Source organism: Homo sapiens, chromosome 7, assembly GCF_000001405.40.
Source record: "Homo sapiens chromosome 7, GRCh38.p14 Primary Assembly".
Classification (NCBI taxonomy): domain Eukaryota; kingdom Metazoa; phylum Chordata; class Mammalia; order Primates; family Hominidae; genus Homo; species Homo sapiens.
The window spans coordinates 124,882,790-124,910,784 of record NC_000007.14 but is presented as its reverse complement, the minus strand read 5'-3'; the positions used below and the strand labels follow the sequence as shown (position 1 = coordinate 124,910,784).

The window sequence follows — 27,995 nt, the reverse complement described above, 5'->3', positions numbered from 1 at the left end:
AAAGGGTTTTTCTAGTTAACATTTTAGATGTTTTGAGGTATGATGTAAAGAGATGCAAATTCTAATTTCTTGTGAGGTAAGGAGATTAAATAACTTATTTTTCTGTTTCTTTTCCTATCCTTTGTTTATTTTACATAGTTCAATAGCAAATAAGGTCTATATTTAAAGAGCCATTAGATAGTAAAAACCACTGTTTCTTTTTCAAACGTTTATTATAGCCAATTTTTAACATTTAACCAGTTTTTTTCAGAATTAAAATTTAACTAATAATATTATATTTGTATGAAATCTTACAGATTGCAAAGTGTCTTCGTATATGTTTTTCATTTAAGTATTAACTGTTAGCCCTCTGTGATGATGGTGATAAGCACTTTTATTATGAAGATAACCCTCTAAGGCTAACATTTGTTAAAGGACTTAGAATAAGTAGAGAAACCGCTCTATCTCCACACCTTTTTTTTCTTACCTCATGGTAGTATTATGGACTTGACAATCTTGCAAATATTTGTCTGAGAAGATTTTGTTGTTTTTGTGTAGTCATGATTTAAAAACATTCAGACAGTATGGCAGGCTATAAACTGAAAAGCAAAAGTTCCCTCATTCCCACTGAATCCCTTGCCATTTCCTAGTCCCATTCTTCAGGTAAAAAACACTGCTATGCTTTTTTTAGTACCCTTCCAGGTTTTTTATATGTGTGTCTATATATGTGCACATGCTTTTGTGTGTGTCTGTGGGCATGGATAAGCCTGTATGTGCATATTTTTCACCAAGTAACTATCTGTTTTTTGCAAGGTTGCTTTATTTTTACCTAATATATCTTGGATATTTTAGAGATGTGTTTTAAAAATAAATACATGCTATCGAATATCAGAGATCAATTTGTTTATATTTTAAATATATTTCACCTTTATCCTTTAAGATTTTTATATTAAATGTTTATTTGAGAAACAGTATAAAAGGGTTATGCTATGAATTAACAAAACATGTATAGTACATCTACAAAACATGTACATTACATTAGGTATTAGTGTTTTACCTGACATGTGAAGTGTTTTCTGCTATTGAAATACATTTTAAATAGGTATTCATTAAAATAGAATAGAACTACACTAGTTAATTAGTACCTGTCAGATAACAGAGGTTGTTAATAATGGTAAGTCAAGGTTTCTTGCTTTTAAAATATAATGATGTGAAGACTGAGGTCACATTTACTTTAAATTATTTCTGGATTTAAAACCCAGAAATGCTGATTATTTGAGGGTCTAATATACCAATTTATTAAAGTATCAAGGTTGAAGATTGTTCCAACCCAAAGGTAAAACTTTTTGCTTAAAGGAATGAGTTTTCTCCAATTTGATTCTTAAACCCTTCTTTGCCATTTGCTTGTTTGCTTAAGGGTAGCGTTGTATTTGAATACAATAATCCTAAAACACTAAAATGAATTTTAACAAGATTTTAATCCTTGCTTTGGTAGACTAATGTGATATATTTTGCAGAAATACACAAGCTGTAATTAAGCCTTCCTCTGTATGAGACATTTTTTGTTTTAGTTTTCATATTTTAAAGTCAGTTTTAACATTTAATATGTGGACATAAAATATGAGGAAAGACTTTTCCAAAGTATTCTGAAAGTTAAAAAAAATTACCCCAAAACTGTCAAAAATAAAGACACTTATTAATACCTTTTTTCTCCCTGTATCCCTGTTAGAGTTAGTTCTGAAAGAGGAATTAGAGTGGTGCCTGTCTTGAAAGTCAGGAGATTTGGCTTCTTGTCTTGGTTCATAGCTAATTAACTGTATGTGACCTTAGATCATTTATTTATTCTCCCTTATCTGAAAAATGAAGATGTTTGATTACATGGTCTCTAAGGTCCTTTTAAGTTCTAAAATGCTAACAGTCTATGAAGTAAGTTTTGTAGCAGTTGTACAGTTTATTTTATTTTAAGATTCGTGAAGGTATACTATCTATATATGTATGAATGTTAATATCTTTGATTATTTATTTAGTTGTCCAAACATTTGTTAAATGTTTTTGTATTCTATGATAGATGTTGGAGATATAGCAGTGAATAAGACAGTCATGGACCTTGCCCTCATAGAGCATAGTGTCCCCTGGAGAAGAATTAAACAATTATTACATAATTATTTTATCCAGATATGATATGTAACTATGAATATTGAATAGTAGAATGAGAAGAGTAATGGAAAAATGATCACAGGGATACTTGGGTTATAGATTGCAAAGAGAGAATAGCATATACAGAGGCCTTGAGCAAGCATCTTGGAATATTTAATGAATTTTGAGAAGACAGAATACCAGAGTGAGTCACACAATATGTGGCTGATGTGGCTGATGAGGTGGGTAGGGGTCAAATCATACAGTGATTTGTAGGCAATTTAAGAATTTTGGTTTTTAATGCTAATATTATTCACATACATTACTTCCAATTATGACCTTGGTATTACTCAACCCAGTACATGCAAATGCTCATGAAATACATTTTTATAGAGAAACATTTTCTGTCAATCACTGCACTATCAACGCCGTCAGGTCCTTGGTTTCTGCCTGTACCCTTACTCTTGAAAAATGTTTTAAAATATGGTAACCTAACAAGATTTGTAAGGTCAATATAGGAAAATTATTTAATGCTTGTTAAAGTCAAATAAGTGTTTTTCATTTTGGATTATCAGTTATTTTATATTTTCAATGCCCTTTTCTTGCCCACTAAGTGTAATGACTTGAGAATTTCTGAGGTATTATTTGTTAAAAATTAGCAAACTAATACATGAGTCTTGTAGTTTATGCTATTATTTGCCTGTTGATTTGCTTATTTCACCACTGACTGTTTCCTTTATTAGGAGGTACTAACATATAAAAACCATATTTGTTAATATGCAAATAAATAATCTGATATACTTTTTAAAATACATGTTTAAAGCTTTGGTTTTTTAAAAAATACTTTTTAAAAGAAGTTTTAGGTTCACAGCAAAATTGAGAGAAAGTTAGAGAGATTTCCCTCACATTCTCTACCTGCAGTTATGCATAGCCTCTTCTGCTATCAGTGTTCCCTCACCAGAGTGGTATTACAGTTGGTGAACCTGCAATGACATCATTATCACTCAGAGTCCATGGTTTACATTAGGGTTTACTCTCAGTGTTGTACATTCTATGAGTTTTGAAAAATGTATTTTGACATATATCTATCATTATAGTACCTTATAGAGTATTTTCCACTGCCCTAAAAATCGTCTGTGCTCTGCCTATTCATCCTTCCCTTTCCCTAACTTCTGGCAACCTCCAGTCTTTTAGGTAGAATCATACAGTATGTGGCCTTAATTTTGTGGGGGGTGAAGCAGTTAAGTTAATTGTTGATTTTTTGAAGAACACTTCTTGTTGTTAAGAAGACCTTTACTGACTTCATTTTTCTTCTCTGAGACTGGTTTGCAGTAAATATTCTATTTGGCTATACTAAACAGGGAATTGTTTAATGACAAGGGAGCTCACTCTTTGTAAGGCAATGTGACAGGGATGACAGGTAGTACAGACACAAAAGGGAAATGACCCATTTGCTAATATTGAAGTATCTTAAATTAGTTTAAAGATTTCAGTGATTCCAAATGTGTTTTTAGTTTTATAACTCGTATATGCATTGATAAAGCCTTCTCACTTTTTGTAGCATAGTATTTTTTTCTCCAGGCTGGTCTCCTAACTTTTTTCACCCAATTGAGTTAAACATCTGTGGTATGTCAGAATATACTCTTGGCACAGATCTAGGTAATTCCAATTCTTGTTTGAATGGCTTCAGTATGCTCTTCTCAGAAGCTTAGAACACCCCATATAAAATCTCATTTTCAATTCGATCTAATGAGTGTTTATACAAACTACTATTATCTGTTATATATTTTTCTTATCCTCTGTGTACTTGAATGTTTTAAAAGCCATTATGATTCATAAATTCATGGAAACTGGATCCTAAGAGCCATTTATTTTTTCTCTTTGTTTAGTTCTGTACTTCAGTTTTTGCCAGTGTTAATTCATTAATTTACCAGATATTTGTTGAACACTATGAACAGAAGCCTCTGGCAGCCATTTATATGAAATATACACATGAATAAGACATTATTTTATTTTATTTTTTATTTTTTATTATACTTTTAAGTTCTAGGGTACATGTGCACACCGTGCAGTTTTGTTACATATGTATACATGTGCCACGTTGGTGTGCTGCACCCATTAACTTGTCATTTACATTAGGTATTTCTCCTAATGCTATCCCTCTCCCCTCCCCCCACCCTACGACAAGCCCCGGTGTGTGATGTTCCCCACCCTGTGTCCAAGTGTTCTCATTGTTCAGTTCCCACCTATGGGTGAGAACATGTGGTGATTGGTTTTCTGTCCTTGCAATAGTTTCCTCAGAATGATGGTTTCCAGCTTCATCCATGTCCTTAGAAAGGACATGAACTTATCATTTTTTACGGTTGCATAGTATTCCATGGTGTATATGTGCCACATTTTCTTAATCCAGTCTATCATTGTTGGACATTTGGGTTACTTCCAAGTCTTTGCTATGGTGAATAGTGGCGCACTAAACATATGTGTGCATGTGTCTTTATAGTAGCATGATTTATAATCCTTTGGCTATATACCCAGTAATGGGATGGCTGGGTCAAATGGTGTTTTCTAGTTCTAGATCTTTGAGGAATCGCGACAGTGTCTTCCCCAATGGTTGAACTAGTTTACAGTCCCACCAACAGTGTAAAAGTGTTCCTATTTCTCCACATCCTCTCCAGCACCTGTTGTTTCCTGGCTTTTTAATGATTGCCATTCTAACTGGTGTGAGATGGTATCTCATTGTGGTTTTGATTTGCATTTCTCTGATGGCCAGTGATAATGAGCATTTCTTCATGTGTCTGTTGGCTGCATAAATGTCTTCTTTTGACAAATGTCAGTTCATATCCTTCGCCCACTTTTTGATGGGGTTGTTTGATTTTTTTCTTGTAAATTTGTTTAAGTTCCGTGTAGATTCTGGATATTAGCCCTTTGTCAGATGAGTAGATTGCAAAAATATTCTCCCATTCTGTAGGTGGCCTGTTGACTCTGATGGTAGTTTCTTTTGCTGTGCAGAAGCTCTTTAGTTTAATTAGATCCCGTTTGTCAATTTTGGCTTTTGTTGCCATTGCTTTTGGTGTTTTAGTCATGAAGTTCTTGCCCATGCCTGTGTTCTGAATCATATTGCCTAGGTTTTCTTCTAGGGTTTTTTTTTTATGGTTTTAGGTCTAACGTTTAAGTCTTTAATCCATCTTTAATTAATTTTTGTATAAGGTGTAAGGAAGGGATCCAGTTTCTGCTTTCTACACATGGCTAGCCAGTTTTCCCAGCACCATTTATTGAATAGGGAATCCTTTCTCCATTTCTTGTTATTGTCAGGTTTGTCAAAGATCAGATGGTTGTAGATGTGTGGTATTATTTCTGAGGGCTCTGTTCTGTTCCATTGGTCTATATCTCTGTTTTGGTACCAGTACCATGCTGTTTTGGTTACTGTAGCCCTGTAGTATAGTTTGGAGTCAGGTAGTGTGATGCGTCCAGCTTTGTTCTTTTTGCTTAAGATTGTCTTGGGAATGAGGGCTCTTTTTTGGTTCCATATGAACTTCCAATTCTGTGAAGAAAGTCATTGGTAGCTTGATGGGGATGGCATTGAATCTATAAATTACCTTGGGCAGTATGGCCATTTTCATGATACTGATTCTTTTCTATCCATGAGCGTGGAATGTTCTTCTATTTGTTTGTGTCCTCTTTTATTTCATTGAGCAGTGATTTGTAGTTCTCCTTGAAGAGGTCCTTCACATCCCTTGTAAGTTGGATTCCTAAGTATTTTATTCTCTTTGAAGCAATTGTGAATGGGAGTTCACTCATGATTTGGCTGTTTGTCTGTTATTGGTATATAGGAATGCTTGTGATTTTTGCACATTGATTTTGTATCCGGAGACTTTGCTGAAGTTGCTTATTAGCTTAAGGAGATTTTGAGCTGAGACCGATGGGGTTTTCTAAACATATAATCATGTCATCTGCAAACAGGGACAATTTGACTTCCTGTTTTTCTACTTGAATACCCTTTATTTCTTTCTCCTGCCTGATTGCCCTGGCCAGAACTTCCAACACTATGTTGACTGGGAGTGGTGAGAGAGGGCATCCCTGTCTTGTGCCAGTTTTCAAAGGGAATGCTTCCAGTTTTTGCCCATTCAGTATGATATTGGCTGTGGGTTTGTCATAAATAGCTCTTATTATTTTGAGATACATCCCATCAATACCTAGTTTATTGAGAGTTTTTAGCATGAAGGGCTGTCGAATTTTGTTGAAGGCCTTTTCTGCGTCTATTGAGATAATCATGTGGTTTTTGTCTTTGTTTCTGTTTATATGATGGATTACGTTTATTGATTTGTGTATGTTGAACCAGCCTTGGATCCCAGGGATGAAGCCAACTTGATTCTGCTGCTGGATTTGGTTTGCCAGTATTTTATTGAGGATTTTCACACTGATGTTCATCAGGGATATTGGTCTAAAATTCTCTTTTTTTGTTATGTCTCTGCCAGGCTTTGTTACAAGGATAATGCTGACCTCATAAAATAAGTTAGGGAGGATTCCCTCTGTTTCTGTTGATTGGAATAGTTTCAGAAGGAATGGTACCAGCTCCTCTTTGTACCTCTGGTAGAATTCAGCTGTGGATCTGTCTGGTCCTGGACTTTTTTTGGTTGTTAGGCTATTAATTATTGCCTTAATTTCAGTACCTGTTATTGGTCTATTCAGGGATTCAACTTCTTCCTGGTTTAGTCTTGGGAGGGTGTGTGTCTAGTAATTTATCCATTTCTTCTAGAGTTTCTAGTTTATTTGCGTAGAAGTGTTCATAGTATTCTCTGATGGCAGTTTGTATTTCTGTGGAATCAGTGGTGATATCCCCTTTATCATTTTTTATTGCATTTGTTTGATTCTTTTCTTCTTTATTAGTCTTGCTAGCAGTCTATCAATTTTGTTGATCTTTTCAAAAAACTAGCTCCTGGATTCATTGATTTTTTGAAGGGTTTTTTGTGTCTCTATCTCCTTCAGTTCTGCTCTGATCTTAGTTTTTTCTTGCCTTCTGCTAGCTTTTGAATTTGTTTGCTCTTGCTTCTCCAGTTCTTTTAATTGTGATGTTAGGGTGTCCATTTTAGATCTTTCTTGCTTTCTCTTGTGGGTATTTAGTGCTATAAATTTCCCTCTACACACTGCTTTAAATGTGTCCCAGAGATGCTGGTATGTTGTGTCTTTGTTCTCATTGGTTTCAAAGAACATCTTTATTTCTGCCTTCATTTTGTTATGTACCCAGTAGTCCATTCAGGAGCAGGTTGTTCAGTTTCCATGTAGTTGTGCAGTTTTGAGCAAGTTTCTTAATCCTGAGTTCTAATTTGATTACACTGTGGTCTGAAAGACAGTTTGTTATAATTTCTGTTCTTTTATATTTGCTGAGGAGTGCTTTACTTCCAACTATGGTCAGTTTTGGAGTAAGTGCGATGTGGTGCTGAGAAGAATGTATATTCTGTTGATTTGGAGTGGAGAGTTCTGTAGATGTCTATTAGGTCCGCTTGGTGCAGAGCCGAGTTCAAGTCCTGGATATCCTTGTTAACTTTCTATCTCTTTGATCTGTCTAATGTTGACAGTGGGGTGTTAAAGTCTCCCATTATTATTGTGTGGGAGTCTAAGTCTCTTTGTAGGTCTCTAAGGACTTGCTTTATGAATCTCGGCGTTCCTGTATTGGGTGCATATATATTTAGGATAGTTAGCTTTTCTTGTGGACTTGATCCCTTTACCATTACTTAATGGCCTTCTGTGTCTCTTCTGATCTTTGTTGGTTTAAAGTCTGTTTTATCAGAGACTAGGATTGCAACTCCTGCTTTTTTTTGTTTCCATTTGCTTGGTAGATCTTCCTCCATCCCTTTAATTTGAGCCTATGTTTGTCTCTGCATGTGAGATGGGTCTCCTGAACACAACACACTGAGGGGTCTTGACGATTTATCCAATTTGCCATTCTGTGTCTTTTAATTGGAGCATTTAGCCCATTTACATTTAAGGTTAATATTGTTATATGTGAATTTGATCCTGCCATTATGATGTTAGCTGGTTATTTTGCTCATTAGTTGATGCAGTTTCTTCCTAGCCTCAATGGTCTTTACAATTTGGCATGTTTTTGCATTGGCTGGTACCAATTGTTCCTTTCCATGTTTAGTGCTTCCTTCGGGAGCTCTTGTAAGGCAGGTCTGGTGGTGACAAAATCTTTCAGCATTTGCTTGTCTGTAAAGGATTTTATTTCTCCTTCACTTAAGAAGCTTAGTTTGGCTGGATATGAAATTCTGGGTTGAAAATTCTTTTTTTAAGAATGTTGAATATTGGCCCCAACTCTCTTCTGGCTTGTAGAGTTTCTCCTGAGAGATCCACTATTAGTCTGATGGGCTTCCCTTTGTGGGTAACCTGACCTTTTTCTCTGGCTGCTCTTAACATTTTTTCCTTCATTTCAGCCTTGGTGAATCTGACAGTTATGTGTCTTGAGGTTGCTCTTCTCGAGGAGCATCTTTGTGGCGTTCTCTGTATTTCCTGAATTTGAATGTTGGCCTGCCTTGCTGGATTGGAGAAGTTCTCCTGGATAATATCCTGGAGAGTGTTTTCCAATTTGGATCTATTCTCCCCATCACTTTTAGGTACACCAATCAAATGTAGATTTGGTCTTTTCTTATAGTCCCATATTTCTTGGAGGCTTTGTTCATTTCTTTTTACTCTTTTTTCTGTAAACTTCTCTTCTCAGTTTATTTCATTCATTTGATCTTCAGTCACTGATACCCTTTCTTCCACTTGATCCAATCAACTACTGAAGCTTGTGCATGCATCATGTAGTTCTTGTGCCATGGTTTTCCACTTCATCAGGTCATTTAAGGTCTTCTCTATTTATTCTAGTTAGCCATTCGTCTAATCTGTTTTCAAGGTTTTTAGCTTATGTGCGATGGGTTCAAACATCCTCCTTTAACTTGGAAAAGTTTATTATTACTGATCTTCTGAAGCCTACTTCTGCCAACTCATCAAAGTTATTCTCTGTCCAGCTTTGTTCCATTGCTGGCGAGGAGCTGTGATCCTTTGGAGGAGAAGAGGTGCTCTGATTTTTAGAATTTTCAGCTTTTCTGCTCTGGTTTCTCCTGACCTTTGTGGTTTTATCTACCTTTGGTCTTTGATGATGGTGACCTACAGATGGGTTTTTGGTGTGGATGTCCTTTTTGTTGATGTTGATGCTATTCCTTTCTGTTTGTTAGTTTTCCTTCTTACAGTCAGGACCCTCGGCTGCAGGTCTGTTGGAATTTGCTGCAGGTCAACTCCAGACCCTGTTTGCCTGGGTATCACCAGCAGAGGCTGCAGAACAGCAAATATTGCAGAACAGCAAATGTTGCTGCCTGATCCTTCCTCTGGAACCTTCGTCTCAGAGGGGCACCCAGCTGTGTGAGGTGTCAGTTGGCCCCTACTGGAAGGTGTCTCCCAGTTAGTCTACTCAGGGGTCAGGGACCCACTTGAGGAGGCAATCTGTCCATTTTCAGATCTCATACTCCATGCTGGGAGAACCACTGCTCTCTTCAAAGCTGTCAGATGGGGACGTTTAAGTCTGCAGAAGTTTCTGCTGCCTCTTCTTCAGCTATGCCCTGCCCCCAGAGGTGGAATCTACAGAGGCAGGCAGGCCTCCTTGAGCTGCAGTGGGCTCCACCCAGTTCAAGCTTCCCAGCCGCTTTGTTTACCTAGTCAAGCCTCAGCAATGGTGGAAGCCCCTCCCCCAGACTCGCTGCAGCCTCACAGTTCAATCTGGGACTGCTGTGCCAGCAATGAGCAAAACTCTGTGGGCATGGGACCTGATGAGCCAGGCATGGGATATAATCTCCTGGTGTGCAGTTTGCTAAGACCGTTGGAAAAGCACAGTATTATGGCAGGAGTGTCCCGATGTTCCAGGTACTGACCGTCATGGCTTCCCTTGGCTAGGAAAGGGAATTCCCCGACCCCTTGCACTTCCCCAGTGAGGCGATGCCCTGCCCTGCTTCAGCTCACACTCCATGGGCTGCACCCACTGTCCAACAAGTCCTAATGAGATGACCCCAGTACCTCAGTTGGAAATGCAGAAATCACCCGTCTTCTGCGTGGCTCACACTGGGAGCTGTAGAGTGGAGCTGTTCCTATTCGGCCATCTTGGAATGATCTCCATTACTTTCAGTCCAAGGAACTTACAGGACTTTAAGGGCTTTAAAGGCATTAAGAAAAGTTTGTAAATAACATACAAAGTGAAAAATGCTAAAACGCTGTATAGGAGAGTTTAGAGGAAGGTAGAATTACTTGTTTCTGAGAGAGAATCTGTGATAGATTCTACCAGGAAGAAGAAGGCTAGACTTTGAAATATAGATTAGGTCAGATATGTACAGATGGGAAACATGTTATTTATTTGTAGCAGTGGCTCAAAATAAATAAAGAATATATGTGGAAAAGCACTATACTTATGAGAGGATCCAATTTGTCTAATATTGAATGGGAAGTATGTGGAAATAAAACAGGCAGAGTTGCTTGGGATGAGATCACTGAAGGGCCTTCAATGCAGTTTTTATATGTATATTCAAATATAAATCCATGTTTATGAATATAATAAATGCATTTCAATTAAAAAAAACTGTGATTGTTATTTCCATGCTGTTGAATATATGCCAGAGGAAGGGTTGTAACTTTTTACTGAATTGTGTGTAGCTACTGTTAAATTCAGAAAAATTTTTCTTATGAATGCTGATGTCCAGCTTTTAGTCATTTATTCTTTTCAAAATTTTTCTTCATGATAAAAGAAATGCATACATACTCAGTCTTTTAAAAAAGTTTAGAATCTACAGGAAAATAGAAAAAAAATGGTCATCTGTACTCTAACATTTGCATTTGGTGTATAATATTTACTTTTGAAAACATTTTTAAGTGGAACAGAGGATAACAAGAGGTAGGTTTTTTTTTCTACTTGGATAATTTAGAACTGATAAACTGTTGGCTTCCCTACTTCTGTTTATCTTCCGGTGTTAGTTTGATAAACAACTTTAAATCTTTGACTAAAATCTCAAGTTTTCATTTAATCAGAATGTATTGGTTTGAGGTCACTTGAAAACAGAGTGTATACTTCAGTTTGTAAAACTGAAAAAAGGTAACTCAGTTGTTATTTTTATTCCAGAAACATGTTCATTTTATTTTTTTAAACTGCATAAAAGGTTTCGGAGAAATATAAAATCTTCAGTAAGAAGAAAAATTTTCTCCCATTGAACTATGAAGAGTTGTGGTAATTTGGCATTATCAGCATACACTCAGTTATGTTTGCAATCTCATGTGAAGAAAAAAACGCAGGAATTGCAGAGCTACAATACCTGGTTAGGGCAAGAGATTTTTAGAAAAGGCAAAATAAGGTCTTTCGTTTGATTCATAGACAGTTTGTTTTGGGAGGGCCTGCTTTGTGCCAAGTCCTGTAAATACAGAGCAGAATTAGAAATGACCACTATCTTCAGTATGCTCTCAGTCCAATTATTAAATCTGAATAGAGGATTGTGAGAATTGACACCAGGCCCTTGTATGTGCAGAGCACACTGTGGTAATGCAGAAGACTTCCACTTGATAGAGTTTTAAATTATTGAAGGAAGATGACCAAAAGCCCAGACATTTTGGTGTATCTTAAGGTTTCGTTGTTAAAATTAAGGGAGTAAGACAATGAAAAATATATATGCAGCAATGCAAAACTCTTTTAGTATTTCTGTTTTAGTATTTGGAAAATAAGAAAAGGAAATTTAAAGAATGAGAGAGGAAGGGATAAATGGAGAATGGCTTCTTACTACTGTTACAAACCTAAGTAGAAAGAAAATATCTTTGTTCTTATTAGTATATAAATGGAAATTTCTTATTATGTCCATGCCCTGTATTTGTATGCACATATATTAGTTTTGTAATATGTGGAGTTTTTGCACTGTCATGCCTTTCTCAATGTAGTTTCTCAACTTTGAGATTTAGTTTCATTTAAATTCCATCCTTATTACTATTGGAACATCTGAGTTTCACTACATAAAACTTTCTTAGTGATTTAGCATTTTCCTGGTCCATGAAGTGGGACGTTATTGTCATCTGTGGCTATATTGTAGCTGTAGATGTTGAAGATGTTTTAGAGGAAGTGGTAGTCTAAATAATGTATTCAGCAAGTGTTAAACAAGTTTAGGTTAACCAGTTTTCTACTTTATAGAGGTAATTTTTATTCTAAACATAATAATATAAATAAGGATTTATATGACATTCCAAATTATACGTATTTTGGTGATTGATTCAAAAACTTTTTTTTTTCTATGTAGGACACCATTGCAGTGGCTAGATTTATTGTTTTTTTAGCTTCTTCATCTACAAGCAGAGATGGTAAACCTTGCATATTTTTGAAAGCATTTGAAGACCTCAAATCAACTGTTTATGTAAGTATGCAGCTTTTATTCTCTAATTACATTGCAGATTTAATGAGCTAAAGTGATGGGATTGAAAGTATTTCTGTAAATCTGCAGATAAACTACTTGGTCTGACTAAATTATTTTAATTGAATATTTTAAGTTTAAAAAATAGAAGTTTTTTTTTCTTGGTTTTATTTTTCGAATGACAAGATAGAATAGGGAATTCCTTTATATTTAATAAATACTTATTAATGAAACTTACAAAACCGCACAGACATTCTAGACTGGATATTCTTTGTGATTATGCCATCAGGCACTTTGTTCTACTTGATTTCACTTTAAATTAATCAACTACCCCTCTTTAGGTAAAACGGATTTTTTCCTTCTCCTACTTTATTCGTTGTGAAGATGGCCTTCCTCTCCTTTCCTCTTTTAACACCCTACCTTCCACACACACACTTGAAAACTGCCTTTTTAGTCAAGGCTATTAGGTAGAATTGGGCTAAGCCAAAAGCCTGCAGGCCAACATCTGCCTTTTTTTTTCTAGTATGCACAAAGGTACTATAAGCACTGGTGGTGGCTCTGCTTGATATTAAAATTAATGAATTAGGCTGGAGATGGGTAAAATTTGCAGTTAGAGTGATCACTGAAGCACTTCCTTATTGATTTTTTTCTTTCTGAAAACATCTAAGGTTCTATGCAGGAAAAATTTTGAATATCAGCTCTGATTTTCCACTTCTATTGGACTGATAGGAGTTGGCATTCTTTTACATTCTATCCTGAGAACTGTCCTGAGAACTGAATATTGCTGTGCTTCAGATTTAATCTGTAAGAACACTAATATTTTAATAAAGTACATTTTCATTTGACCTTATATCTTTGCCTTTTTTTTTTAAGTTTCTGTAGCTTAGACAACTTTGCACATTTCACTTTTAATTTGTAAGCCATAACTTTATGTCATCCTAGTGAATTTGAATATTTTACAAGTAAGTGTGTACTTTTACTACAACTAAAAGCATGTAATCACATTGGAGGTTATCTGTATACAAATAAGTTCTTTCTTTTTTTCCTTCAGGTTTATGTCAAATCTTTAAGAGATTTTTCTACAGAATCAATGTCTTTGGTAAGATGATATTCAGTTTAATTTAGAGTATTACACCTATACCTGTATATGCCACACACATAGATACATGTGTATGTATATTCAGTCCACTTTGTAGTCTGATATTGATATATTATCAATACACTGGAAAAACATAATCTTTACTTTTTTATAGCTGATAATGTTATATTAGAGTTATATATTTTACCTAGTAATCAATATCTGAATATTCTGTTGTCTGGAATATCTGCTGATATTTTGTGTAAGCTATACATACACAAGAAAAATAAAATAAGTTTTTACTGTATGAAGATCCTTAAATTTTTGTTATAAACCATAGGCAAATTCATTTCTTTTTACATTAGCTTGTATTTAACCAGACAATTATGTGCTGAATTATATAATTGAACAAATTATATAATTTTAAGTAGTTTTCTTATACTTATGATACATTTCTTTTTAACCATTTTCCCCACTATTTTATAGCATAGATATAGCTATAGCTTCCTTATAGCAATAGGAAGATGCCCATTCCCATTTTTACAGATAGTCTACTTGTAGCCGAGTGAAACTGGAAAGAAGGTGTTAATAATTTATTGGTATAGTTTAATATGATGTTTATGTTCTACTTATGTTTTTGAACCTTTAGTTTCAAATGGACAGAATTCAGGAACTGTTTCTGGTTGACAATGACTGTAGGACACAGTTACTAAATTCTGAGTATTAGTATAATTAATATTTTTGGGGGAACTGTTACCAATAAAAGAACTGATGTACTTTTTGAAAAATGTGAGTTAGCTCTGGTATTAGTATTTCCCAAAATTGTTATAAATTGTTTAATTTAAAATATTTGATATATCTGCGAACCTGTAAATAAGGCGGGAATAAATGAAAAAGCCTCTGAACTTTGCAAAAATATTTTTTCACAAAGCCTAGGTATTGTAAGTTAAATCAAGCATAGATCTATTTGACTTTATTTTCCTGACTCATCAAAAGATGCTTGTTTTTACATTTCTACATTTTTAAACTGAGCATGGATCTTGCAGTTGATATCAAGAAAACGGAGTTACTGTTTTTGAGTTTCTTGTTTTCCTGAAAAAGTGTATTTTTTTGAGAATATAGTATTAAAAGTGTAGTCTATGAGGACCAGGGTGTTTTTAGAATTTAGAAAATAGAGTATTTGTTTTTCAGTGGTAGAAAGTTTGCTTTTCAAGTGACTCAGGGTAATCATTTGATCTTGTATTGTCTTCAGGATTTAAAAGCTTTACTAGCCCACTTATGTGATCTGAAGGCCCAATATAAACTATCCCCTATATTTTTATTCAACCTAATCTTGTCATTACCTTTGACCAGTACACTCCAGCCATCCAAACCTCCTGGATTTTCAAATATACTGAATGTGTTTTCTCTGCTTGGAACACTGTTGCTTATCTCATTCCCAACTTCTGTACTTCATTTAATTAGTTCTTTCTTTAAATATCTTTTCAAATAGACCTTCTAAGACAATTCTAAGACATCTCTCCGCTTTTATGGTTTGTTCTTCCATTGGTGCAGGGTCTATTTGTGTTTTGTTCACACTTATTTTTAGTGCCCCGTATAGTACATAGCCCATCAATGAATGAATGAAGGAAGGACAGAAATAAATAAAGGAATGAATGAATCGAATTATGCTGCTAGGTGTCTTTCTCTCTTCAGGCTTTTATTGTCTGCTGTGCTTGATTTTTGTCCGCTAGTTAACTTTCTGCATATGCTGTAAATTGCATCTCATTTAACCAGGGCTCACATTTTCCTGACTGATTGATTCCATAATGGGCTGCCCCTTAAGCAGTCAAAAAAAAAAATTGTTCATGTCTGTGTGAAATGTGGATCAAGTGATGTACTTAATGATAATGCTATCAAGTTATCTTTAGTATATCATGAGCCGATGGTTTTCTCATGGACATATGCCTGTGCTGTGCGATAATGAGCAACTAGCTGTGTGTGGCTTTTAAAAATTCAGTTCATGATTTGCACTAGTCATATTTAAATTCCTGAGTAGCCACAATATTGATATAGAATATTTTCATTATCATAGAAGATTATCTTGGATAGTACTGTTCTAGATTATTTAGTGAGCAATAAAAACCCTCAACAAGTATTTTTGTAAGTGCTAGTTTTATTAACCTAGGAGTTGTTAGGATGTCATAAATATTATATGCCTGTTGCTTTAGATATTAGCCATGTGCCTTTTGCACCAGCAGTGTGAAACTATTTTCAGATCCCTGATTACATAATGCTAGTATATGCTATCATTTCTCCTTGTTACTTGTCCTTCAAAATTTAGATTTTGTTGCCACCTTCAGAAAGCCTTTGCTTACCATTCTCCTACTAACTACACTATTTCTCCCGCTAACACATTTGTTCACACTGATTTGGATGTCCCTCTACAGTCCTTTTTTATGGAATACAATACTTTATTGTGTCAGCAAGGGAGGCAAATTGGCTACTAAGATAGGGCTTATTGGGAATCATGTAAATTTAATTACCTTGTTGAAGTGTGAGCTTACTCAATGGTACATTAACCAAACTTGTAAGAATATTAACCCAACTCATTAGAGAATGATTAAGAAGCAAAAAATATCAATTTATGAATTTATAATGAGGTTTATATCTTAGCTGTTGTACACATAAATACTTGCTGATTTGCATGGAAAGCCAAACAAGAAGTTGTTTATTGGTAATGAATTAACAAATGGCGGTTACTTGGTTGATTATAATGGTTAGTGTCATTGAGTTTTGCTGGCCTTTCCCATTCATCTCTCCATGAGATGTTAAGATAGAATATTGAGTGTAAGCTAAGCACATGTTTTCTCCCTACTGTTCAGTATGCTTCTCTTCCATTATTTCTCTTTCCATTCCATTATTCCATCATTCTTTTTTTAATCATTGATGAGCTAGCTTTCTTTATATTGAAGTTTGATTAGATTAGCAAATTCTACTCTTGTTTAAACTGAGAAGCCTCCTTGGAAAAACTAATTTTTTAATTTGAGTTTTAAAATTTTAACTCTCAGAGTGATAGGTATCCTTATTTCCATTTGATGTTGGGATCACTTATACAAAGCCCTTTAAGGCTTTATTTAGTATCACTGTTAATATGCAAACATGTCCTTGTAAACCACTTTCCCTTTTCTTTCCCAACTTATTCACAGTTATTTCAAAAAATTATCTTTTGGTTCTCTTATTATTATAGAACAAAAGGAGCTCGCTACCTGATGTGTTATAAGCCAATACTGTGAAATCAAATTTTTGAGAAAAGAAAAGCTGAAAGTCAACACCTAAGGAGACACGAGCTGAGCTCAAATATGTCTCCCTGCGCTGTCTTTAAGGCAGTAATTTTATTAGAAAAGTTTTAAAGAGTAGATACTGGGATTAGTAAGTCATTAGTTGGATGAAAGGGGAAGTTTGGAAAGTCCTTGGGCAAGCATAGTTATTTCTTCACATTAATGCATGGGTTGCATGTGCAAATTCAGGTGGAGTTAGTATGATGAATGTGATGGAAATTCATACTGTGATATCAGCAGACTCGTTCTCAAATTCCAGTCAGCCATCTTGGTTTCAACTGATTTCAGATAGTTTTTTCCTGCTCTCAAAATCAGTAGGAGTTTCAGTAGTATCTCAGCAAGTTGTTTCTTTTCTTATCTGATATTCTGCAAGCTCAAGAATTTGTGTTAGTTGCTGATTTCAACTTCTCAATAAGTTTTCATTTCTTATCTACTATACTGTAAGCCCAAGAATTTAGGAATTGTTAGTTTTAATTCTTTGGGGTAGGGTTTCATTATTAGCATTTTAAATCTTTTTATACCATTTATGACTCAAAACCTGGCTTGAGTTATGAGTCAAAATTTAGGCCTATGGAAAATCTCTATAATAGCATGGGGGTAAGGGGAAGAGAGAAATTGTACCACAAGTTTCAAAGAGATATTAGTTAAAAAATAGAACCAAAATCTCTTAAATTGCATTTTTTAGAATTTGCTCTCTGTTAACAGTTTGATTTATTGTCCCCCAGCTACAGTTTCTTGACCAAATAAGCTAGGGATATACTAACTTAAAGATAGCTAGGATGATTTAATTACTAAAAGATTCCTTGAGAGTGTCCTTAAAAAAAAAGTTTTCTAAACTTACAAGAGATGTAACTTGTATTGTTAAGACTAGTGTTCTAGTTGCATTTTCAGGGCTTCTAAAAATATCTCTTTATGCCTAGTCATTTACCTTTAATAAAACTCTCTTTTCTTAGACCTTTTACATTGAAGATGTACATATTTAAAAAAAAGTATTTTCTTGTTTTGTGTTATTGCTTCAGTTTTGACATGTATTGCTGTTTTTCACTACAGATGCTCCTTGATTTACAATGAAGTTACATCCAGTGTACCCATCATAAGTCAAAAATTTTATAAATACAAAATGCATTAAATTGCCTAATAGACCCATTCTAAAGTCAGAAGATTGTAAGTTGAACCATCATAAGTCAGGGACTATATGTATATGCTGTTTGCTATGTTTTTATTGAAGAAGTATAATGTTTTAATTAGATTATAGGTTATGCCTTTATGAGCTAGTGTGCAAATTGTACCATTTATAAACAAAGTTCTAAGGAAAACTAGTTGGATAAGCTAAGCTGTGTGCATTGCCTTATTTCAGGTTATAACTTCTTTTAGACACTTAAAAGGATAAAATAGTTACATGGATTTGCTGCTAATATGATTATAACATGATTCTACAATGTAAATACTTTGTATAAATGTATTCACTGTCTTCTCTTTCTTTAGGTTCCAGCAACAAATTATATATATACACCCCTGAATCAACTTAAGGGTGGTACAATTGTCAATGTCTATGGTGTTGTGAAGTTCTTTAAGCCCCCATATCTAAGCAAAGGAACTGGTAGGTATTAAAACTGGTGGAGTTTTTTGGAGTGGAAATGCATTATTGATTTAGGAACACGGTTCCATCTGTACCCTAAGTCCTAGAATAGAAGCTCAGTTCTGACCTATAATTGCCAAACAACACTGATGCATATTCTTTGGCTAGTTTAATTTGTAAAATAAACGTGATCTTTAGATTCTAGAGTCTAGTTAAAGACAGTAAGGACAAAGAATGAAGCAAAGGATGCCAAACAGCAACGTGAAACCATATGAAAATATAAAATTCACTGGAAAAGGTAAATATATAAACAAATGCAGAATACTGCAATTCTGTAACATTGATGCATAAATCACGTTTAATTCTGTTATAGAAGTTGAAAGGCAAATATATAAAAGCTATAACTATAGAAATATGTTAATGGATACATAGTATAAAAAGATGCAAATTATGACGTCAGTAACATGAAGTGTGGTGGGGGGTAGAAGTAAAAGTGTAGAGTTTTTGTATGCAATTAAAGTTAAATTGTCAGGTTAAAGTAGATTGCTATAAATATAAGGTACTTTATGTAAACCCCATGGTAACCACAAAGAAAATACCTATAAAAGATACACAAAAGAAAATGAGAAGGGAATCAAAGCATGTCATTACAAAATAATGAAACACAAAGGAAGATAGCAAGAGAAGAAAATAGGGAATTGAGTGTCACAAGACAGATAGAAAACAGTGAATTAAATGGCAATCGTAAGACCTTCCTAATGAATAACTACTATTATTATAAATGAATTAAATTACCTAATAAAAAATCATAGAGTAGCTGAGTGCATTAAAAAAAACGAGATACAACTATATGCTGTCTACAAAAACTCACCTTAGATTTAAGGACACACATAGGCTAAATGAAAGTGAAGGAATGGAGAAAGATACTTCTTGCCAATGGTAACCAAAAGAGGAGAAGTGGCCATACTTACATCAGACAAAAGAGACTTTAAGTCAAAAACTGTCACAACAGGCAGTTTTTGGATATCACATAATGATAAAAGGGTTAATTCACCAAGAAAATATAACAATTATGTATGCTGCTAACATCAGAGCGCTTAATCCATGAAGCAGACATTTCAGAAGTGAAGGGAGAAATAGACAGCAACACAATTATAGTAGGAGGTTTCATTTCACCACTTCCAATAATGGGGGAGACCATCCAGACAGAGATCAATAAGGAAACAGAAAACTTGAACAACACTGTAGACCAAATGGACCTAACAGACGTATCAGACATATGCAGAATATTCTACCCAGCTACAACAGAGTATACATTTTTCTTAAGTGCACATGGAACATTCTCCAGTATACATAACTCGTTAGGTCACAAAACAAGTGAATAAATTTAAAATAGCAAGATCTTTTCTGACTTCAATAAAATCAAACTAGAAATCAATAGCAGGAGGAAAATTATAAAATTTAGATGTGTGGATATTAAACAATACACTCTTGAGCAATTAAGGAAACTCCATGCTGTTTTTTATAGTGTTTGTACTAGTTTACATTAAAAAATGTATGCACCTTGATGATAAATACAGTATTGCTAAAAAATGCTAAGGATAAGTTGAGCCTTCAGCGAGTTATCATCGTTTTGCTGGTGGAGATGATAGGTTGATTGGTCAGGATGGAGTTTTCTGAAGACTGGTGTAGCTGTGACAGTTTATTAAAATAAGACAATACTGAAGTTTCTCATATCAATTGACTCTTCCTTTTACAAAAGATTTCTTTGTAACATGAGATGCTGTTTGATAGTATTTTATTCACAGTAGAACTTATTTCAAAATTTTAGTCCTTGTCAACCCTGCTGCTGCATTATCAACTAAGTTTATGGAATATTCTAAGTCTTTTGTTGTCATATCAAAAATATTCATAACACCTTTACCAGGAGTAGATTACTTCTTAAGAAACTATCTTTCCTCATCCATAAGAAGCAACTCTTCATCTGTTGAAGTTTTATTATGAGATTGCACCAATTCAGTCACAATTTCAGGCTCCATTTATAATTCTAGTTTTCTTACTGTTTCCACCACATCTGCAGTGACTTAATTCCACCAAAGTCTTGAACCCCTCAAAGTCATCTGTGAGGGTTGGAATTAACTTTTTCCAAACCCCTGTTGATGTTGGATTTTGACCTCACATGAATCATGCATGTTCTTGATGTCATCTAGAATAAATACTTTCTAGGTTTTTAATTTACTTTGCCGCAGTCCATCAGAAGGATTGCTATCTATGGTGGGTATAGCCTTATAAAAGGTATTTTTTTTAAATAATGACACTTAAAAGTAAAAATTATTACTTGATTTGTGGGCTGCAGAATGGATATTGTATTAGCAGGCATGAAAATAACATTGATCTTGAACATCTCCATCAGAGCTCTTGTGTGACTAGGTGCACTGTCAATGAGCAGTAATATTTTGAAAAGAATCTTTTTTGCTGAGCAGTACGTCTCAACGTTGGGCTTAAAGTATTCAGAAAGCCATGCTGTGAGCAATGTCATCCAGGCTTTGTTGTTTCATTAAAGAGCACAGGCAGAGTTGGTTTTGCTAATTTTGAAAGGCCCTAGGATTTTGAGACTAAGTGAGTATTGGCTTCAACTGAAAGTCATCAACTGCATTAGACTCTCACAAGAGAGTGAACCTGTTTTTTGAAGCTTTGAAGGCAGGCATTGACTTCTCCATAGTTGTGAAGGTCCTAGATGGCACCTTGTTCCAAGAGAAGACTGTTTGGTTTACATTGAAAATGTGTTGGTTTGTGTAGCCACCTTCGTTGATGATCTTAGGTCTTCTGGATAACTTGCTCCATCTTCTTCATCAGCACTTGCTACTTGCTGTTTCACCTTGTACTTTATCTTATGAAGATGGCTTCTTTTCTGAAATGCCATGAACCAATGTGATAGCTTCAGATTTGTCTTCTCTAGCCTTCCCACCTCTCTTGGCCTTTAAAGAATTGAAGAGAGTTAGTGCCTCATTCTACTTTAGGCTTTGGCTTAAGGGAATGTTGTACTGGTTTGATCATCTATGCAGACGACTAAAATTTTCTGTGTATCAGCCATAAGGCTCTTTGACTTTCTTCTCATTCATGTGTTCACTAAAGTAGCACCTTTAATTTCCTTCAGGAGCTTTTTCTTTGTATTCACAACTTGGCTAACTGGGCACAAGAGTCCTAGTTTTCAGTGTATCTCAGCTTTGGATATATGCCTTCCTAAGCTTCATCATTTGTAACTTTTGATTTAAAGTGAGAGACATGTGACTCTCTCACTTGAACACTTATAGGCCATTATAGGGTTATCAAGTCATCTAATTTCAATATTGTTGTGTTTCAGAGAATAAGGAGCCTCAGGAGAGGGAGAGGGGAATGACAGGTTGATGGGGGAGTTAGAATACACATATTTATTGGTTAAGTACACTGTCTTATATGGGTGTGATTTGTGCTACCCCAAAACAATTATAATAGTAATGCCAAAGATCACTGATCACAGATCACCATAACAGATACAGTGAAAATGGGAAAGTCTGAAGTATTGTGAGGATTACCAAAATGTAACATAGACGCACATACTGTTGCAAAAATGGTGACAGTAGACTTGCTCAATGCAGAGTTGCCACAACCTTTAATTTATAAAATTGCAGTATTACAAAGTACAACAAAGTAAAGTACAATTACATGAGTTATGCCTTTATTAACATGGTCATACTACTCAGTCATCTCAGATTCAATGTATTCCCTATCAAAATCCAAGTAGCATTTTCTATAGAAAAATAAAAATCAATCTTCAAATTCATATGGAAACACAAAGGACCCTGAATAGCCAAAAGAATCCTGAGAAAGATCAAACCTGGAGGCTTCTCTCTTTCTAATTTCAAAATACGTTAAAAAGTAACAGTATTGCGACAGTATGGTACTGCCATGAAGCCAGACATACTGATTAATGGAATTGAATAGAGCGCCTAGAAATAAGCCCACACGTTTATTATGGTCAACTGATTTTCGACAAGGGTGCAAGAATATATAATGGGGAAAGTATAGTCTCTTCACCAAATGGGGCTGGGAAAACTGTATATCCACATGCAAAGAAATTGGATCCTTAGATCCTACACAAAAAAATCAATTCAATGTGGATTAAAGACTTAAGAGTATGACCTGAAACTGAATGTTCTGGAATAAAACAGGGGAAAGGTTTCCTGGCACTGGCCCTGGCCATGATTTTATATACATATATACATATATATGAACTGATACAGAGGTGTATATATATTTGGATAGTTTTAAAAGTAAAGTAAAAATGTATAACCTATTAATTGCTATATGATAATGTAAGGTTTTAACAAACATGTAAACGAAAACATCAAAAGCCATGAATTTCAGTTTATTGTGAGGTAATAAAGTGAACAGAAACACACACTTCACCTGTGTTTAATTTAATTTTACTAAATTTAACATTGTTTATTGTATTTCATCTATTCTAAAACACCATTATCTGTAAAAGGCTTTATCATTTTATGTATCATTCAGAAGGGAAAAATGCTAATTAAACTATGCTTAACTGTCAATTTTAAGATAGAGCCGTATTTCAGAGATGTTAAATAGTGAAACATGGATGTTGTTGATGAAATGTAGACTTTATCTCCTGCATGCCAGGAGTTGTGATCATGTTGCAAACACAAAGATGTTCTCATTGACTTCATATTACAAAACCATTTTTAAAATAAAGATATACAAATTTTATTGTTGAGGAATGAACTAGGAATCTACTCTTTGGTCAGGTGGATGTGGGAAAATCTTTTTCTTGTGGTCAGCATATTTTATTAACGTATAATGTAAAAAAAACTAGTCTGTGTGTAAATGAACATTGCGAAGACTATTAAATACGGAGATAAGTTTTAAATAAACCTCATACTAAGCCTGAAGACTGCAAAGAATGTTTTGTGGAAAATCCTTTTAATATCTGTTGTTGTAGAGGAAAGGGGAACATTAAAGTTGAAGTAGAGAAATTTGTGCTTGAAGACCTATTTTTCAAATATTCTCATTTCAGCTTATTCCCAGAGTCTTCATTTCCCCACCCCATCATACTGTTCAACATAAACTCACATACTTTTCCCTTAGTAGTTTCCTCTCCCCATCAATTTTCTTCAAATGTTACGTGTGCTGCCCCTTCTGGGAGTTAGCCATAAAGATGTAATCACTATGATCCTCTTCGAATTTGAAGTTTTACCTGGTTGAATTTAATTGGCCCACCAAACTTAGGAATAAGCTACATTGTTGCTAATAATGTATCTATAGAAGATATAATTTAAAAAGTTTTTTTAACAAGTTGATCTGCAAATACATCATTTTAAAAAAAACTTAAAATATGATAATATAGACTAAAATGATAGCTCTGTTAAAACATTGATGACAACATTAATTTTCAGTTGTTATTAGAAAAATCATGTTTTCTCATGATAATGTTATTAAATCTTGCATATAAAATGAAAGCCATGGGGAACAAGAATATGTATTATATTTTCATATGTGTCTTATATCTCTATCAGATATGTTTACTTCAATCACTGCAGTCCCGTAGTAAAAAATTCATGGCTAGTAATGAGCCATCTTTTATTACCAAGATAATATGTTTGTTTCTTCTAAGATACTAAATTAAAATGAATGTCATCAATTTTATCTGAACCTGGTCGTTGAAGCTTTTAAATAAATCTTAAGACATAGCAAGATGTCTTGACTACTAGCCAGACAATAAAGTTTTAAAACTCTCTCTAGTAACTTCAGTTACAGTTATATTAGAGAAATAGCACTGATATTTGTGTTCAGGAAAAGATAACCTTCATTAGTATTACCACAGAGAAGTACAAGAATAGATGTACAGGAACAGTCCACAGCTGTGCCTTTTAAAATATTACCTAAAGCAGTACTTTTTCACAAATACAGGGCTACAATCTAAATAACATCCAGATGTATATAGCTAGTTATGTGGTGGAAAATTACCTTTATGCAGTTCACATTTAGGTAGATGGAAAAAGTGTATTCTGTTACATATCATTAGCTAGAATTTTTCGTGAAAATTCATCTTATAAATGTTCAATTCAGTGTGATAGAAGCAATTAGCAATTTGGCATCTTTACTCCTTGACAGAAATTTTTCTTTGCTCTTATCCTGAATAAAGATTACATATGACCTGTAGCATGCTATCTTATTTCTGGTAGAAATCCTATTCTGGTAGAAATGCTTCTATTCCTAAGTTCATATTCACCTTTGGAGTAAAGTTTTAATTTTTACATAGAGTCTATCAGAACTATCAGAGTTAAAAGAACATATAATGCTATAGATACTAACATTCCTATTCAGTTTTGATAAGATTAATGATGAAAACTGAGAAAGAATTCCTCACATATTTTAGAAGCAACATATATTGAAATGTCCTTTTATCATCAAAATTTATTTTATATGATTTTATTTTTATTTTTATTTATTTATTTATTTTTGAGACGGAGTCTTGCTCTGTCACCCAGGCTGGAGTGCAGTGGCATGATCTTAGCTCACTGCAAGCTCCGCCTCCTGGGTTCACGCCATTCTCCTGCCTCAGCCTCCTGAGTAGCTGGGACTACAGGCACCAGCCACCACGCCTGGCTAATTTTTTGTATTTTCAGTAGAGACAGGGTTTCACTGTGTTAGCCAGGATGGTCTCGATCTCCTGACCTCATGATCCACCTGCCTTGGCCTCCCAAAGTGCTGGGATTACAGGCTTGAGCCACCACACCCGGCCTATTTTTTTAAGAGAGACAGGGTCTTGCTCTGTTGACTAGGCTGCAGTGCACTGCCGAGATCATAGCTCACCTCAGCCTCGACTGCTGGGCTCAAGCAATCCTCCCACCTCAGCCTCCCTAGTAGCTGGAACTAGCAGCATGTGCCACCATGTCCAACTAATCAAAAAACTTTTTTTTTTTTTTTTTTTTTGGAGAGATGGAGGTCTTGCATTGTTGCCCAGGCTGGCCTAAAACTCCTGGTCTCAAGCAGTCCTTCTGCCTCAGCCTCCCAAAGTGCTGGGATTACCGGTGTGAACCACCATACCAAGCCCAAAATTGGTTTTGATAATGACTCATCAATGATACGTACTGTGCTTCTTTCATATAGGAAAACAAAGTCATTGCCTTCTTTAAGACTAGAGATTTTATAGCAATAATTTTCTCTGAAAACCTTACCTATACTTTTGCTTTGGGAGCTGGCTAGATAGTATTAGGTATGCAGTTTTTGCCGTGGACACATACCATTCATCATATTTTCCTAGATAACACATATAAGGGAATTTAATTTTAGCTGTGTTTCAGTTTTTTAGAAATAGCTATTTTTTAAACTTGAGACACATTTACTCTGTTTTTATTATCTGCTCTTACAAAATAAAACAAATGTATTCAGACCATAAAACATTTCCAGACTTGTTAATAGTGTATGGCTCATCCTTGCTTGATCAATATCATAATTCCTACTCACAACGTGAGCAAATAGGAAAAATAGAGGGAACCTTGTTTGTGCTTAATCTCCTAATATTTGAATTTAGAGGAAGGGAGAGGCAAAATATTCATTGTTTGCCTCTCCTTCTTTTTGTTCTTTCCTCAAATTTTGAGTCCTTCTTTCTTTTATTTGCTAGAGATCTCTCATCCTTTTTGTGCCACATAATGTGGTACATCACCTGTGGGCTCACTACCTTACCTCAGGTATGGTCTGTTCCAAAATTACTTGTTTCTCTTACCCTACCTCCCATTAAAACTCATTTTAGAAAAGTAGTTTGTTTAGCAGTCTTGGATGTTACAGTGTTTCTAGAAGCAGATCTTTCTCTCTTCCTGTTCACTGTCTTACAAGGACACCTTCTGTTTTAGCTACTTACTGAGCAGTATAATCAAATTTCTCAGAGTAGCATCCAAAACACTGGATTCTGAGAGCCTCTGTCAGTTTTGTTTGCTTTTAGATTTTGGGATAGGATGCTAGGATATGGGGCCCTAACATTTTTTTCTTTTCCTGTTCTATAAAAACATCCCAGCTAACTCTAGAATGCTGTTTTTTGTTATGTAATATTGATTATTTTCACATCTGAGAAGGACATGTCATGTACATGTAGTGTCATGTAGCATAATTGTTTTAATATTTTGGTTTTGTGTTAGCAATACTGGTTGCACATTAAATGAATATATATTTTGCGTTTTAATTTTTAAAAGTATAACAATGTACTTCCACATATCCGGAATTGACATAGTTGAAAATGTCAACTATGTATTATTGATACACATATTGATATTAATGTATTAATTACTGAGTAATTAATCACTCATTGTTACTTCATAAGACCTAGGAGCCTTCTGATTTATCAGAGAGATGAAAGAATCTAGTATGATGTAAAATTATATGTAATAATTATTTAATCTATTTTTCAATTTTTTTTAATTGAAAATGCACCTTTGGCATTTTAAAACAAAAAAGCCTTTTGCAGTCATACACATGTGATGACAAGTTATAGAACCTATCCTAGAAAAATATACAACACATACACGTATACAGACTTATGCATATATCTATGGTTCATGCTTCTCCCACTTTGAACTCCATGTTGTTAACTCATGACCTGTGATATGTTCATATTCACTTACCTGAATATTTAGATAATATTAGAACCGTAAGGTTGTCCTCTTTGTTTAATGTATGGCGCATAAAATAAATAAATATATAGTTTTGTATTTCGGTTCACTCATTTGTTTGTTCAGCAAACTGCTTATTTATTTTCTATATGCCAGATAATATGACATGGGAAATTCAAAGTTATATATGTCATTGTTTCTGACAAGGGATTAAATTTTGTGAAGACAGATAAATTAATGAATAATTACAATACAATTACTATAACTATTAGTTACATAAACTTTTTTTTAGTCTTTCCCCAATTGGTAAAACTCTACTTTTCTGTTTTTTGGCTATGTAAGATAGAACCTTCATTTGTGAAAGATACCATGCTTTTTGAATATATATTTTCAAATTGAATGATGAGTTACCTGTTACAATGAATGGAGTTGGTGGATCAGACAGACACTGAGTTTTCCATTTCTCAGGAGTCAAAAAATAAATATGTCTAGGTGAGTGAGGGGAGACTCTTCCCAGATGCTTAACTGCCTTTCAGAAATGGACTCATTCAGGTCATGGCAGGTTATCACTTACCTCTTTAAAGATTTGGGTAGTTGAGACAAGCCTCCCCTCTTCAGCTTACTTATACTGTTTTCCAGCTATTCTATCAATTTTCATCTAAAGAATGGAGATGGAGAAAAGACACTTTCCTCTCCCTATCACTTCACTTTGTATTTATTTTTTGCTATTTCTCATTTTCAGGAATGACTTTTTTGATGAGACTTCAGGCTTCCATCTGACTTCTATGAGACGAGCACTAGCTTGTCTTTCATGACTTTTTCCCAAATTAT

General features: G+C 34.6%; 1 protein-coding gene across 5 annotated transcripts in view, besides 3 other annotated features; it reads left to right on the top strand.

Moving 5' to 3' along the window:
* Positions 1-27,995, top strand: part of POT1 (protection of telomeres 1) — a 107,440-nt gene that overhangs the window by 19,041 nt on the left and 60,404 nt on the right. For all 5 annotated transcript variants that reach the window (NR_003103.2, NR_003104.2, NR_003102.2 and 2 more), the window contains exons 4-6: positions 12,411-12,524; positions 13,573-13,620; positions 18,405-18,519. Coding sequence is in view for 1 of the 5 variants with exons in the window: in NM_015450.3 (NP_056265.2) it covers positions 13,612-13,620; positions 18,405-18,519 (124 nt within the window). In the remaining 4 variants the exon portion in view is untranslated. The remainder of the gene's footprint in view (positions 1-12,410; positions 12,525-13,572; positions 13,621-18,404; positions 18,520-27,995) is intronic.
* Positions 8,492-8,636: an enhancer, noted in NCBI's record as "145 bp 7:124542275 sequence used in MPRA reporter constructs". NCBI's record gives its function as "activates a minimal TATA-containing promoter with rs6466962 allelic activity by MPRAs in C283T melanocytes {active_cell/tissue: C283T}" and the evidence as "EXISTENCE:reporter gene assay evidence [ECO:0000049][PMID:36423637]".
* Position 8,564: a transcriptional cis regulatory region, noted in NCBI's record as "rs6466962 or 7:124542275 MPRA-significant variant associated with a GWAS melanoma risk locus at 7q31.33". NCBI's record gives its function as "allelic transcriptional activity by MPRAs in C283T melanocytes {active_cell/tissue: C283T}" and the evidence as "EXISTENCE:reporter gene assay evidence [ECO:0000049][PMID:36423637]".
* Positions 17,507-17,648: a silencer, noted in NCBI's record as "fragment chr7:124533191-124533332 (GRCh37/hg19 assembly coordinates)". NCBI's record gives its function as "represses an EF-1alpha promoter that drives an FKBP-Casp9 reporter gene in an ReSE screen in K562 erythroleukemia cells {active_cell/tissue: K562}" and the evidence as "EXISTENCE:reporter gene assay evidence [ECO:0000049][PMID:32094911]".